At 40.8% G+C, this 13,523-nt stretch overlaps 1 protein-coding gene and 1 long non-coding RNA gene across 12 annotated transcripts in view, besides 1 other annotated feature; one reads left to right on the top strand and one right to left on the bottom strand.

Moving 5' to 3' along the window:
* The window catches only part of NECTIN3 (nectin cell adhesion molecule 3), a 122,355-nt gene extending 110,238 nt beyond the window's left edge, over positions 1–12,117 (bottom strand). For 3 of the 10 annotated variants that reach the window (XM_017006126.2, NM_015480.3, NM_001243286.2), the window contains exon 1: positions 11,756–12,117. In XM_017006126.2, the coding sequence (XP_016861615.1) occupies positions 11,756–11,915 (160 nt within the window). In that variant the 5' untranslated portion in view covers positions 11,916–12,117. Of the gene's footprint in view, positions 1–6,655; positions 6,749–9,682; positions 9,731–10,945 lie in introns of those variants that run through there. The other 7 variants (XM_017006123.2, XM_011512663.2, NM_001243288.2 and 4 more) reach the window with 5 other exon arrangements.
* The window catches only part of LOC151760 (putative uncharacterized protein), a 183,623-nt gene continuing 182,266 nt past the window's right edge, over positions 12,167–13,523 (top strand). The window contains exon 1 of one of the 2 annotated variants that reach the window (XR_007096272.1): positions 12,167–12,441. This is a non-coding gene — a long non-coding RNA (putative uncharacterized protein LOC151760). Of the gene's footprint in view, positions 12,442–12,543; positions 13,056–13,523 lie in introns of those variants that run through there. The other variant, XR_007096273.1, reaches the window with a different exon arrangement.
* Positions 12,290–12,389: a silencer, noted in NCBI's record as "silent region_14597". NCBI's record gives its function as "represses an Ori minimal core promoter by ATAC-STARR-seq in GM12878 lymphoblastoid cells {active_cell/tissue: GM12878}" and the evidence as "EXISTENCE:reporter gene assay evidence [ECO:0000049][PMID:35858748]".

The following is a 13,523-nucleotide window of genomic DNA, read 5'->3' as shown; positions in this document are numbered from 1 at the left end:
ATATTTTCTTGGGCTATGGCAACAACAACATCCAGTTTCTATGAGCAGCAAAGCCAGTATCAGAGACAAGGCTATATCATCCAGCGTCCAGGAGACAGCAGGTAATGACCTTAACAAACTGCCCCTCAATATAGTATCTTAGCTATGGTTCTGGATATAGTTCTAGTTGCCTACCTTCTTTCAGTTCTTGTTTTCCATGCCTGAAGCATCCAATATCTTTCAAAAAACTGTCTTTTAACCACGGGGTCAAGTTTCTGATGTTTGTGAATAAAACCTTGACTGATGTCTCGGCTTGGGCTGCTTTAACAAAATACCATAGACTAGCTGGCTTACACTCTTTGTTACAGCTCTGGAGCATGAAAGTCTGAGACAAGGGTGCCAGCATTATCAGGTTCCTGGTGACAGCCCTCTTCCTGGCATGCAGATGCCTGCTTTTCTGCTACATCCTTGCATGATGGAGAGAAACAGCTCTAGTGTCTTCCTCTTCTTATAAGGACACTAATCACATCATGAGGCTCTACCCTCCTGACCTCATCTAAACCTAATTACTTCCCAAAGGCCCTATGCCCCCTAACACCATCACATTGAGGGTTGCGAGCTCAACATATGGATTTGGGGGAGAAGGGGAACACAAACTTTCAGTCCATAACAACTGACATAGTCTTGTTCCCTCACAAATTACTCTTTTTTCTCTTTCCTTTCTTTCCCAAGAGTTGTCCCTACTCTCCTTCACTATCCCATGATTTCTTAATCCTTGAAGACAGGGGTCTCCAACCCCCGTACGAGTCTGTGGCCTGTCAGGAACTGGACCGCACAGCAGAAAGTGAGTGGTGGGCAAGCAAGTGAAGCTTCATCTGTATTCACCAGCCACTCCCCATCTCTCATCCGTATTTACAACTGCTCCCCATCGCTTGTATTACCACCTGAGCTCTGCCTGCTATCAGATCAGCAGCAGTATTAGATTCTCACAGGAGCACGAACCCTACTGAGAACTGCACATGTGGGGGATCTATGTTGTGCACTCCTTACAAGAATCTAATGCCTGATGATCTGTCACTATCTCCCATCACCCCCAGACGGGACTGTCTAGTTGCAGGAAAACAAGCTCTGGGCTCCCACTGATTCTACGTTATGGTGAATTGTATAATTATTTCATTATATATTACAATCTAATAACAATAGAAATAAACTACACAATAAATGCAATGCACTTCAATCATCCCAAAACCATTCACTGCCCCTAACCCCAGGCCATGGGAAAACTGTCTTCCACAAAACCAGTCCCTGGTGCCAAAAAAGTTGGAGACCTCTGCTTTAAGATGTGACATTTTTCTCCTAACCACTTTTACTAAAATTACTAAGAGTCACGAATGCCCTTACCTCTACTAAATGTATTCATTTATTTATCAACTAAGATTTTTCCTTGAACATTTTTCTTCTCTCTCCCTCCGATAGCTTATCCAATCAAAATACCTCAATCTAAAAAAAAATTCTGGCCCCATCCACTATTCCCTTCCCTCTCTCCACTTTTTTCTTCTCACTCTCTCTCTTCTGCCTGTGTTCCCTTTTCTCTCTGAAACAGCTCATTCAATGCAAATACCTCAATCCTGATAATTCCCAGTTTCACAACCTACCTCCTACCCCTCGTACCTCACCCTTCTAACCCCAACTCTCACAAATTTCCAGCTACAGCTCAAAAGTACACCACAAATGCATGTGAAACCTTACTGGATTGATTAATCAATCCTCTCATCATCCTTTCCTAGTTATTCCAAGTTGGTTCATATCTAACTCCTCCTTCCTTACCCACAATGATATCCAAACACCATATCATCTACTTCTCAGATCCAAGCCTCCCTTCAAATCCCTTTGCAAAACTGTCATTTATCTCTGTAATCCTCTTTCCATGGAATATCACAATGGTTGTCACCTTCACTTGTCTGTCATAGCTCCAATATATTTTTTACATTTCTGCCAGAGCTATACAATCTATCAAGTCATGGATGGACTCCACAGTTGCCTGCCTTCAAAAGCTCCTCAGTGGCTACCACAGTCTAATCGCCTCAGCAAAGTATTTAAAAATCCACGACTTCCCTCCATAAAGTTCATGCTTGAGTCACATGAGAACACTAATTCCTTCTAGAGTCCTCATCTCAGTGGTCTTTAAGTTGGAACACCCTCTTTTTCACTGACTTTCCCTCACAAACAGAAATCTAAGCTATTCCTTCAAGATTCAGCTAGAAAATTAGCTCCTCTAAGTCTTCTTCCACCCCTAGTTAAATTGGTCCTCTTTCTATAATCCGACAATACTTTGTTAAATTTCTCACATAAGACAAGTCATTTTTGTTCACTGTATTGTTTGTTGTATTTACATAGCACTTTATTGCAATTTAATTTCATAGCAATTCTGTGAAGAAAGTATTATTTAGCCAATTTAACAGGGGAGGAAACAGGGAGAGAAGTAACTGGGTTAATACACACACACACATACACAGAGAAAGACATCTTTCATTCCAATCTCCTGACAATTAAGTTTTACATTTCTTAAGGGCAAAGACTCCAAGGAGCCTAGAAGAGTCCTTTCTACATAACAGATGCTTTGTAGGGTTGTGGTTTTTCTTGTTGTTTTGTTTTGTCTTTTGTTTTTATGGTGAAACAGAGTCTTGCCCTGTTGTCCAGGATGGAATGCAGAGGCAAAATCTTAGCTCACTACAGCCTCAGCCTTCCGGGCTCAAGCAATCCTCCCACCTTACCCTCCTGAGTAGTTGCTACTACAGGTGGACTCCACCATGCCTGGCTTATTTATTTATTTATTTATTGGCAGAGACGAGGTCTCACTATGTTGCCCAGGCTGGTCTCAAAGAATTGGGCTCAAACAATCCTCCTGCCTTAGCCTCTCAGGGATTACAGACGTGAGCCACTGCACCCAGCCTGCTTTGTGTTTTAAATATGTTTAAAACCACCCTGTTTTATCTGTCTAAACTCTTGAAGACATAGCTCAAAAGTCTCATTTTTAACTCTTCCAGCCCTTACTAATATTTCTGTAAACTATATCATATCACTTGGCATGTTGTTACAAATGTCATTTGATATATAAGCATGCCATTAATCGTATTAATGAGTTCATAAGCTTTAGAGGGCCAACATGCCTCATTCCACCGTGGTATCCTTTATACTCCCTAGCACATGGTTGTTGCTCAATAGTCCCCAATTTATCCCTTGTTCAAATCTCTAAGTCCTTTTTTTTTTTTTTTGCATGACATATATAGATTAACTGTGACTAAACTTTACTTCTGTAACAGTAAATATTACTTAACCCATTCCTGAAATATAAAGCTCATACACAGGTCAGGGAAAAAGTATTCTAAGTATCTGAATGGAGAAAAATCTAGAGTGACTATTTTAGATGACTGTAGAGGGCAGCAAAGCAACAGTAGTATCCTCAAAGAAAAACATGTATTTTTCTTAGGGAACTTCAAATTTGTTTTATATTTCAAGAGATGCTGTCAGGATTAAAGCTTTTGAAGGAAAAGGGGCTTTGGGGCATGCCAAATACAAATTTCACCAGCTACTTATATATTTAAACATTTTTACTATTAACTATAAATATAAAGAAAATATATCAATGCCCAGATCCTTTTACATGAAAAACAAGCTTGATAAACAATGCAGTTTCAAAATAGCCAACATAATTGCTGAGTACTTTAAGAATCCCGAAGTTGAAAATCTTTCCTCATTGAAAACGGCAAACATAATTTCTTAATTTTATTTTCTTAAATACAGAAAAGAATGTCAATAATCTAGATAGTCTTATTTCCTGCTAATTAGTATTACTAATTATAAACTTGATATGCCTTTTTGTTATTCAAAATCAGTCAACTGTAGGGTCTATACCAGTTTAAAAGAAAAAAATTATAAATCCTTTGGCACTGTACTAGTATACAACAATAAACAATGCAACACCTTGAAAAAGAACAGAAATTCCCTTACTGTTATTTCAATATTGAAGTTCACTCTGCTTTTAATATGAACTAGGCAGAAAAACTGCATCAAGATAATCATATAACCTCAGAAGTGTTTATAGGAATGGGGAAGCTACTATATAAGTTGACATTAAATACAACTGTATTATTTGCATGTTTCTCAAAGATTGTGTTGGCAGTAATTTTTTACTTCCTTTAAATTTAACAAGCAGAAATGCAGAGTTTTAGAGTGACTGCAGTAGCCATTAACATAAGCAGGCTTATGATTAAGTGAGAAATGCTGCTATCATGTTTTAGTCCTGTGCCCTTAAAGAGAAGTATAGAACTGTTAGCTATATGCCTTCTTCCACTTGATTCTCTTCCAAAAAATTAAAGGAATGGAGAAGGACTTTTTTATTTTGCATTTAAAATAAAGTAGGTATGGTATCTCTAAGCAGGTTTTAAAAACTAGGCAGTTTATTGTCAGGCTTAGTATTAAATTAAATGTATAGCCATGAATGATTATCTCTAAATCAAATTAGTAGGGAATCTGAGTCTATAATGAAAGGACATTTAAACATTTTTACTATTAACTACAAATATAATGAAAATATATCAATGCCCAGATCCTTTTACATGAAAAACAAGCTTGATAAACAATGCACAGTTTCAAAATAGCCACCATAATTGCTGAGTACTTTAAGAATCTAGCTACAACTAAATTAGAAATTTTATTAATAATCTTCAAAACTAGGGCCTAAGATTTTCAGTAATAGCAATCATGTCTATCATGAATAATTCACAGTTACTATATTAAACTGATTTTACTACAGTTTACCAATACTAGCATTTCATTAATATTTTTTTCTTCTGAATTGAAGCAACAGAAGAGTCAAGCACACTCCTGACATTATATATAATGTTCTCAGACACTTAGTTGGAGTCCTAGCCCTGCACAGTTTCACATTAGCATACTTCCATTACAAAATAGACTATCTTAAATTTACCCACTTCATTCATAAAACTCAGTTCCAGAGTCAGATGTGTCATACATGAAGTACGATACATCTCACAGAAGCAGCTTAAGCTAGACAGGTAAATAATATACAGCTGATTTTGAAATAACAAAGCAGAAGACTACTATTCTCATAGAAAGTCAATTCTGCAAACATCTCAAATTCAAAATGGGTGAGGCAATGGGAAATAGAACTGAAGAGAGGAAAAATAATTTTTTAAAAAGGAAAAATCAGTGGAGAACTATCTCAAGTAATATCTTTAAGTCTACCAACCTTTTCTAATCATCAAGAGTACAAATCTCTTTAAGAATATATTCCTATAGTGTATTCTGCATAACATAGCTTCTGCAACATAATATATATTACACCAAAGAATTTGTTTAGTTTGTTAAATGGGATATTTTACTGAAGAATTTCTTAGACCATTAATAAACTAATTCACATTGTTAACTTTCCATGAGGGGGTATATCATTAGCTTTTCCTATTCCCAAATGTATTAAAACATGGTACTTTTTCTTCCAAAAACCTACCTTCTGAGACTAGTGTTTCACAGAAACACTTTAACAAAGACTGTTTTAAGCCTGAAAGCATGAAAAAAATGAAAACAGAATTGCATGCTCACTGTATGCAAGAAGTGGTGAGGGAAGCCTTCCTGGAGAAAGTCAATCTTAAACCAAGCCCTTCAGAATTTGATTAGGTAGGAAGAGCAATGTCATTCTAGGCCTTATGGGTAAAGACCACAAAAGGGCATAACCCACTTTAGAGACAATTAAAGGTTCAGACTTGAACTATCCAAACTGGTAGCCACCAGGAACATCACACTTGAATACAAAGTGCATTAAATGTGGCTAGTCCAAATTGAAATGATCTATAAGTATAATATATCTACTGGATTTCAAAACATTACTATGAAAGAAAATGTAAAATATCTCAATTTTTAATAACAATTGCATGCTGAAATGATATTTTGGTTACATTGTGTTAAATAAAATAAGATTAATTTCACCTATTTCTTCTTCACTTTTTAAATGTGGCTTCAAGAAAACTTGAAATTACATGGCTTGCATTATAGTTCTATTAAAACGTGCTGGTTTGGACTAACCTTGATTTCGCCATCAAACTCTTGAAATAAATATGAGTGCCTACTACATGCCAAGCACATGGGAATACAAATAATGAACAAAACAGTGAAGCACATTTCTTTCAGAAGATTGATAATATTTGGTCAAATCATAAATGAAAATGCTATAATAAATAGCACTTGTCAAGAGAAAAAAGAATTATCTGATGTTGTCTTTCAAAATACAAATGTCCCAACCCTTGGACTCCACACCTCACCCGTCTTACAAAAATTGTTGATCTAGTAAGTCCATAGTGGGGCCCGGCCACATTGCTTCAAAAAAGATTCCCTAGTAACTATGATTTTAACTCACACATCCTATCTTTGCAGGCTCTAACTATTTGAGAATAGCTATTTACAGCCCCACTCCCTTTTTCTGTTCTTTTATTTCTTGTGATAAAACCTAGGCTGAAAGCCTAAAGGGCCTCTATTGGGTGCAACAGCCAACCTATTTAAGAACAAGTTTGATCTTTTTTTTTTTTTTTTTTTACCATTAAAGTTGAAACCAAAGTTTTTTACACATGGCTCACATTCCAGTTTATGAATATCTACTCACAATGCAACAGGTCTTCCCTACTCAACTTATTTAGCAGAATGAATGGTGGGCAGTCAATAGTCTTGCAAGAAAAACAATCTCCTGGATGCCATACTAAAGAAAACAAGTAAAATTCAAAATATAAATATATAATATCCTTTCTAAAATAACTATAATACCTGCGATATGGCTATATCTAGACTCATAGGAGGCAGACCTCATTAAAATTTGTAATTGATAAGTTACATTATAATTAGTAACTCTTTTAGAAAAAAACCTTGAAGCTACCCTTAATAAAGTTTCAGATTTTTTTTTTTTTTTTTGAGACGGAGTCTTGCTCCGTCACCCAGGCTGGAGTACAATGGTGCAGTCACAGTTCACTGCAGCCTCCTCCCCCTGGGGTTCAAGCAATTAGCCTGCCTCAGCCTTCCAAGCAGCTGGGATTACAGGCTCCTGCCACCATGCCCAGCTAATTTTTGTATTTTTGGTAAAGACGGGGTTTCGCCATATTGGCCAGGCTGGACTCAAACTCCTGACCCAAAGTGATCTGCCCTGAAGCTATCAGCCTCCCAAAGTGCTGGGATTACAGGCGTGAGCCACTGTGCCTGGCCTCACAACAGATTTTAAATAAATGATTAAACTATATCAGAGTTTATTCTAATACATAAAAAGCATAAATTTTATAAAATTCAGTAAAGAATACAGATTCAACAATTTAAAGACCATTTTAGACAAAAATATATGAAGTAATCAAACATATGACAGATTAATGGTGCTCAGATTTTTGGATCTGTGTGCATGGTACACAAAACTGTCTTTAAAGTTTCATTATTGACTTAACTGTTATTTGATTTTTAACCTACATTTACATATTAATAGTAATTATTAACTGTCTCATCTGCAAACCATGTAGTGCTTGTCAACTTTTATGAAGATTTTAATAGATTACAGAATATGTTATAGCAATGTATTATTTACTCACTAATTTTTAAGGGTTAAGTTACAGAATGTCAAAATGCTCTCTTTTAACAAGGATTTTCATAACCAGCTTCCCTTCAATAATTTTCAAGTAATTAACAATAACCCATAAGTTTTATCCCTTAACTATACACATATAAAACATACATCAGAATTGCCAAATTACTAAATTGTAAATAGATGAAAGTATAAGTGACATAAACAAGGTAAATATATATAATAAACACAATTGCCCAGCTTTTCCAATTATTATTTCTGATGTTGTAGATAACTGCAAGAAAGGAAGATTTGATCTTTCTGCTTGCTTCTAAATTTGGGTTACTTTCCAAAAATATCTGTTTAGGATGCAGAAAGACTCATGCAGGCAATATGTACTATAGACCCCAACTGATACCATCAGTAACTTAAAGCAGAAGCAAATTATGAGTCCCTTCTCCAACCCCTATCTTCAGTATGATCACTAACATTCTAAGTGACCTTATGGAACTGCCAAATCTTAAAATGCACTGGACATCATTAAGGGAATAGTCAACTAGTTTCCATACAATTATACAATTGAAGTATTTTGACTACATTCTAATATTCTGAATACTCATCTGTATATTTATATAAAGTAAATTTAACAAATATTTGAAGATCACTGGGCTAAGACTCAATATATAGATGTAAAGTACAAATACAGAAAGTCAATTTGAAAACTCAATTATTCAGCACATTGGTGTAGAATTTAAGAATCACTAATACCAGCCTGGTTAGTTTATGCTGCGCAATATAATAAATGCTAACATTTGAGTGTTACTATATTTCATGCACTCTTCTAATTGTTTTATTCTATTCTGTCATTTAATTCTCACAAGATCTCCATCAGCAAGGTAGTAATGTTATCTCTTTATAAAACAAGAGAAACTTCAAGTTTCCAAGGTTAAATAACCTGCCAATGATTTACAGCTAGAGAGAGAAAGAGAAAGAGAGGAAGGGAGGGAAGGACAGGGAAGGAAGAAGACATCTCAATAAGATCTGACCCAAATGATGTTTTAAAAATGACTGTTTTTTTCATTGCACATTCATAAGTCTTTACCTAATGGGTTAGGTGTCCCATTTCCGGGCAAATCAAAATACCTCACAAACACCAAACTGTTCTACAATCATGTTTCCTTTAGGTCGAACCCAAAGTTACAAGCATCTTGAAGCCAGGACTCTGTCTTATGCGTGTGTTATGTCCCCAAGTGCCTATCAAGTAGTCAAAGTGCTTTTAAAAGTTCCATATCATATCAGATCTTCTTTTCTGTGCTCTTTTAAACATTCATCTTAAGATGAAGCCTTGCTGAAAATGGAAAGAGGCATAGAATCTCAGAGCCAAATGGGACCTTACAAAGGTCAGTCTATCTTGTTATTCATCATTACCATACCCATGATAATATTCTCTATGTCCCCTGAAAAAAAAACGGTGGGAAGTAAAAGTGAGATAAATCTAATCATCTATGAATTGATTATTGCCATCATAAAGAAACTTCGAATTTCATAATTAAATGACGTTTATCAAGTCAGATGATGACGTAAGCCCAGTCCCCTTGACACTTATACCTAGGAATCTCTTAGGCTTAAAAACAAAAAAAAAATCTGGCAATTTGACAACCTGTAAAACTCTCATTTTAAAAGTTCAGTTCTCCAAATAAGATAATGCACACCCCCAAAACAAACGGCCAGCAAGTCTGATATAAACATTTTTATAGCCTTCAGAATATCAGGTCCACCAGTTTTGATGGATATTTTTAACAGTTAAATTAACACGATAAAGTTAAGGCCACGCTATATATCAAACATATCAAAATATCAAAAATAGCAGCAAAAGGAAAAATCTATATGTCATAAAACAAGTAAAGCATTCTCATCAACAAATCATCAGCTACAGTCATATTTTTAAAGCTTAAAAATCTTTTCAACTCTAAAACTGGCTCCACGCAAATATTAATTACATGCCAAACCTTGTAAGCAGTACTATGAACATCATTATAACTCTATTAACTAAAACAGTAGTTAAATCAACAACTTGTTAGACTAACAGCTTACTTGAAGAAAATTTTGCTTCCATACCACTAAGCTTCCATAAGTCACAACATCTGTGCCCTATTCAAAGACTTAATTCCAAAATAAAGGTTGATGGAAAAAACTCGTCATAAAGGTTCACAAATTAGGGTGTTATAACACTATAAGCCAAAAAAGGAAGCTGTTTAAATGAGTAGCACACAGGAATACAAAACCAGTGTCTACCTCTACAACAAGAAGAGTTGACTCTAAACACTACACCTGCTCTAAAACACAGTCCATTTGCCTACACTGCTTAAGTTTTTAAGCTCTGAATTAAAAATCAAGTCCTTCCAATGCTACATTGAGATTTTTTAAAACTGTTTTCTTCTTCCATGTGAAAACCAATGTGTTCCTTCAAAAAGTAATCAACAATTCATTTTCACAACCACTAAGAAATTATCATGTAAATAATTCCTGCATCAGCTATGCATATTACCTGGCTTCAGTCTTCCACAGAGCTTTGCCTAACTAGATCTGCCTCTGTGGAGGTATAAATATTCTCTCAGTCCTTAACATAAACGAAGTCAGGATAGTAAACTGGTAAGGTCCCCTCCAACTGTCCTCTCACTCAACTGTAAGCAACATCCCCAATTCTCCTTCATGGAATAGAACAGCACACAAATTCAATCTAGACTCTGGCATCAATTTAAAAAGGTATAGCATTAAGAACTTTGTCTTGGAACCAAGTATCTGCGGAGTCGGCATACAGAAACAGCGTACAATTAATAACATTCCATTTACCATACTATACTCTGTGTAAATCAGATTTCATTACAGTGCTGGAAACGTGGTGGTAAACTGTCAGTGGAAATTCTCAGCCCAGAAGAGACACTCAATCCCATCATGCAAACTTTGCTTCCCTCATAACCAACTACCCTGACTCACCTACCATGTAACAGGATTCTCCTCCTTCTAAATCACACTATTCAAGAAATGTGCACACATCTCTCCTTTTAATAAATACTAGTAAAACTTCAGTTTACGGTTTTATGAAATACTGAAAACCAATCTTTGACCAAGCTTAAGTTCTGCCCCTCTACTTTTCTTACCAAGAGCCCTCAAATAAATAACTACTCGCAGTGTTCTGATACTCCTCCTCCCACCAAAGACTGGTGTCCTTATTTTCCCAAATCGCTGCCTCCCATTAATTACCACTTAAGTCCATTTCTCTTGCATGAGGCAGACTTTTTTTTTTTTTTTTTTTTTAGCACAGTCCTTAATAAGCAGGCTTCTAGTCTGGCATACCTGGGAAGAAAACTCAGAGACTAACTCCCAAATATGACAGGAAAACAGTAACATAACACGAGGGTCAAGAGATGGGAAACAGGCGCGTGACTGTTTTGGTTAGAACAGCCGGGGCACACAGTCCATGAAATCAGGTATTTAACACGTAAATCTTGTTCCTGCGGTTTGGTAAAATAAGCACGGGCAGTGTGAGAGACGTCCCACAAGCTGGAGGGCAGGGACGAGGGTCAATCTAGAGAGCTCCAGAAGCTGTCAGGGCAGAGCCGGGGGAGTGGGCACAAGACAGAAGAAAACTAGCTGTAGGGGATTCTGCGGCTGGGTGGGCTAAAATGGTGCCTTCTCCAGGGTGGAAGGCCATGAGAAGTGGACCCGGAGGCTTCATTCCATCGGGCTCCGGTCCCTAGGGTTTCTGGGCTCACAGCTCAAGTTTCACCGGGAAAAAAAGCGGCAAACGTGCATCCCGGCACCTTAACCTACGAGGGTTCCCAGAGAATGAGCGAGGAAGTAACGGTCCCCGGAGCAAACCCGGAGTTCGGCGCACGAAGCACCATCGCCAACCCTCGGCCATCCGCACGGCGACCCGCGCGGCCGCGGGGGAGGGCAGCGGGCCGCCGGCTCAGCATTCGCTGGCCTGGCCCTTCCAGGGCCTCGCCCCGGGCGCGGCGAAAAGTTTCCAGCCAAAGTCCTCGGCACTCGCTCGCACAACCAACCGCCTCGCTGCTCCAGAGAACGGCTGGCAGAGCCGGCCGCGGCGCCCGCACCCTCAGTGGCGGCTCCCTCAGCCCACGCCGGCCGCCGAGGTTCACCTACCACAGAGCCTGGAGAAGAGCAGCAGCGGGAAGAGCAGCAGCAGCAGCGGAGGTGGCGTCGGGGGCTGCAGCAGGAGCCCGGCTCCGAGGAGAGAAGCGGAGGAAAGTTGTGCTTTGCCGCCTCCAGGACACAGCGGGGACGGCCGCAGGGTCCGCGCCATCCCCCACCCTCCCCCCGGCCCGCTCGCCCGCCCGCCCCCCGGCTCCCCCGGCCCCGGCGCCTCAGGCTCTGGGCGGAGGCTGTGGAAGGTCCGGCGCGCGCGTCCCCAGCTCCCAGCTCTAGCGCCGTCGCTGCCGGCTGACACTTGGCCGAACGCTGGCGGCTGCCTCGACACCGCCGTCGCCGACGCCACTGCCGAGGCTGAAGCGGGAGCCGCCCGCCGCCGCCGCCACTCCCCTCCCCTCGGCACCCGCCCGCGTCGAACTCCTGGGAACTCGGAACGCACCACCCCGCCCCACGCAAGAGGGGGAAAAGAAACCGACTCTCAGAGCGGGCGCCCGACTCGCCCGCCCTCCCCGCGCAACTCCACCTCCCGTCTGATCCCCGGGCGCAAGCCCTGTCTCCTCCCACCCCGCCCTCCTACACATGCTCCTCCCCTTTCAAAAAAAAATATTCTTTTCATCCACTTTGATAACGGGGTTTCTCCCACAGCAGAGATTTAAAAGGGACAGGAAAATCTGGAATAGGTTAGTCGGCCCCGCCCCTCGTTCCTGCCTGGTTTCCCCCCTTCCCTGCCTTTCCAATGGTCTCGCCCACTCCACCCCTCGCGGGTCCACGGGGGCCCCGGCGCCGACTGAGGCGAGGGCTGCGGGACAATCACGCTCGGCCTTCTCCTCTCCCGGGCGGCGCTCTCCCTGTGGCGGGGACCTGGGACGAGGGGGTGGGGTGGGGAGGGGAAGGCAGGAGGGGGCTGCCCTTCCGTTGCCCATGCTAAAGGTTCCTGTGTAGGAAGCTGGACGCAGCCTGCTGGACTAGTAATCTTCCTCCTCGCTGGGGCGCGGGGCACTGAAGGGAGGGAGAGACTTTCTCCTCCTTCCTGTTCCCCGGGACAGCTGTGCTCTCCGAATCCTTCCCTTCTTCCCAGCCCACTTATTCCCCGCTCGCCAAGGCACGTTTGCACAGGCATTTTTCCTGCTCTTTTTTCTGGGAGGGCAGCTTGGTAGAATGGTCGGCGGAGCTGGGCGAGGAGAGGGGTCTTCAGAAGGTTTGCTTTCTTGCTCTTGCTTCTCACTGGCCGCTGGGCTGTCCACTTTCCGCGCCGGGCGACTGGCAACAGGAGGCCATGGATTTCCCCCAACGAGTGCGTTGGTGTTTTTCTTTGGTTTTGTTTCCTTTGCATGTTCGTATGTGTAGTTTTATTTTCTTGCCTGTTTTCGTTTGATGGCAGAGAGGCGACCTCGGGAAGTATTAAACATTTGCCCGTATAAGAAGAGCGTCTGTGGTCCACCATGACCCTCGCTCATCCCAGGTGGCTCTCCGCCCTGCCCTCTCCATCCTCCCGCCTCGCACAGTACCGGCAGCTTGACCTTGGAGCCACTGCCACATTGGTTCCGCGGGGGGAGTAGGAGGGTGGACAATTTGGACTGTCCAGCGTAGGGGGTGAATTGAAGGCAGAGGACACCAGTCCTCAGGCCTGACACTATTAATTTTATGTAGGTCCTGTCATCTCCACGAGATAGCCATAAATGTGTTCCAGTAACAGGAAAGCTGAACAAGGATCAGCCGCCCAGAAGTTAGCCTGTCGCAGCTAAACTAATGCATGCTTGCG

The sequence above is a fragment of the Homo sapiens genome, chromosome 3 (assembly GCF_000001405.40).
Source record: "Homo sapiens chromosome 3, GRCh38.p14 Primary Assembly".
Lineage (NCBI taxonomy): Eukaryota > Metazoa > Chordata > Mammalia > Primates > Hominidae > Homo > Homo sapiens.
The sequence above is the reverse complement of the archived record's forward strand: the minus strand, read 5'-3'. Positions and strand labels throughout refer to the sequence as shown.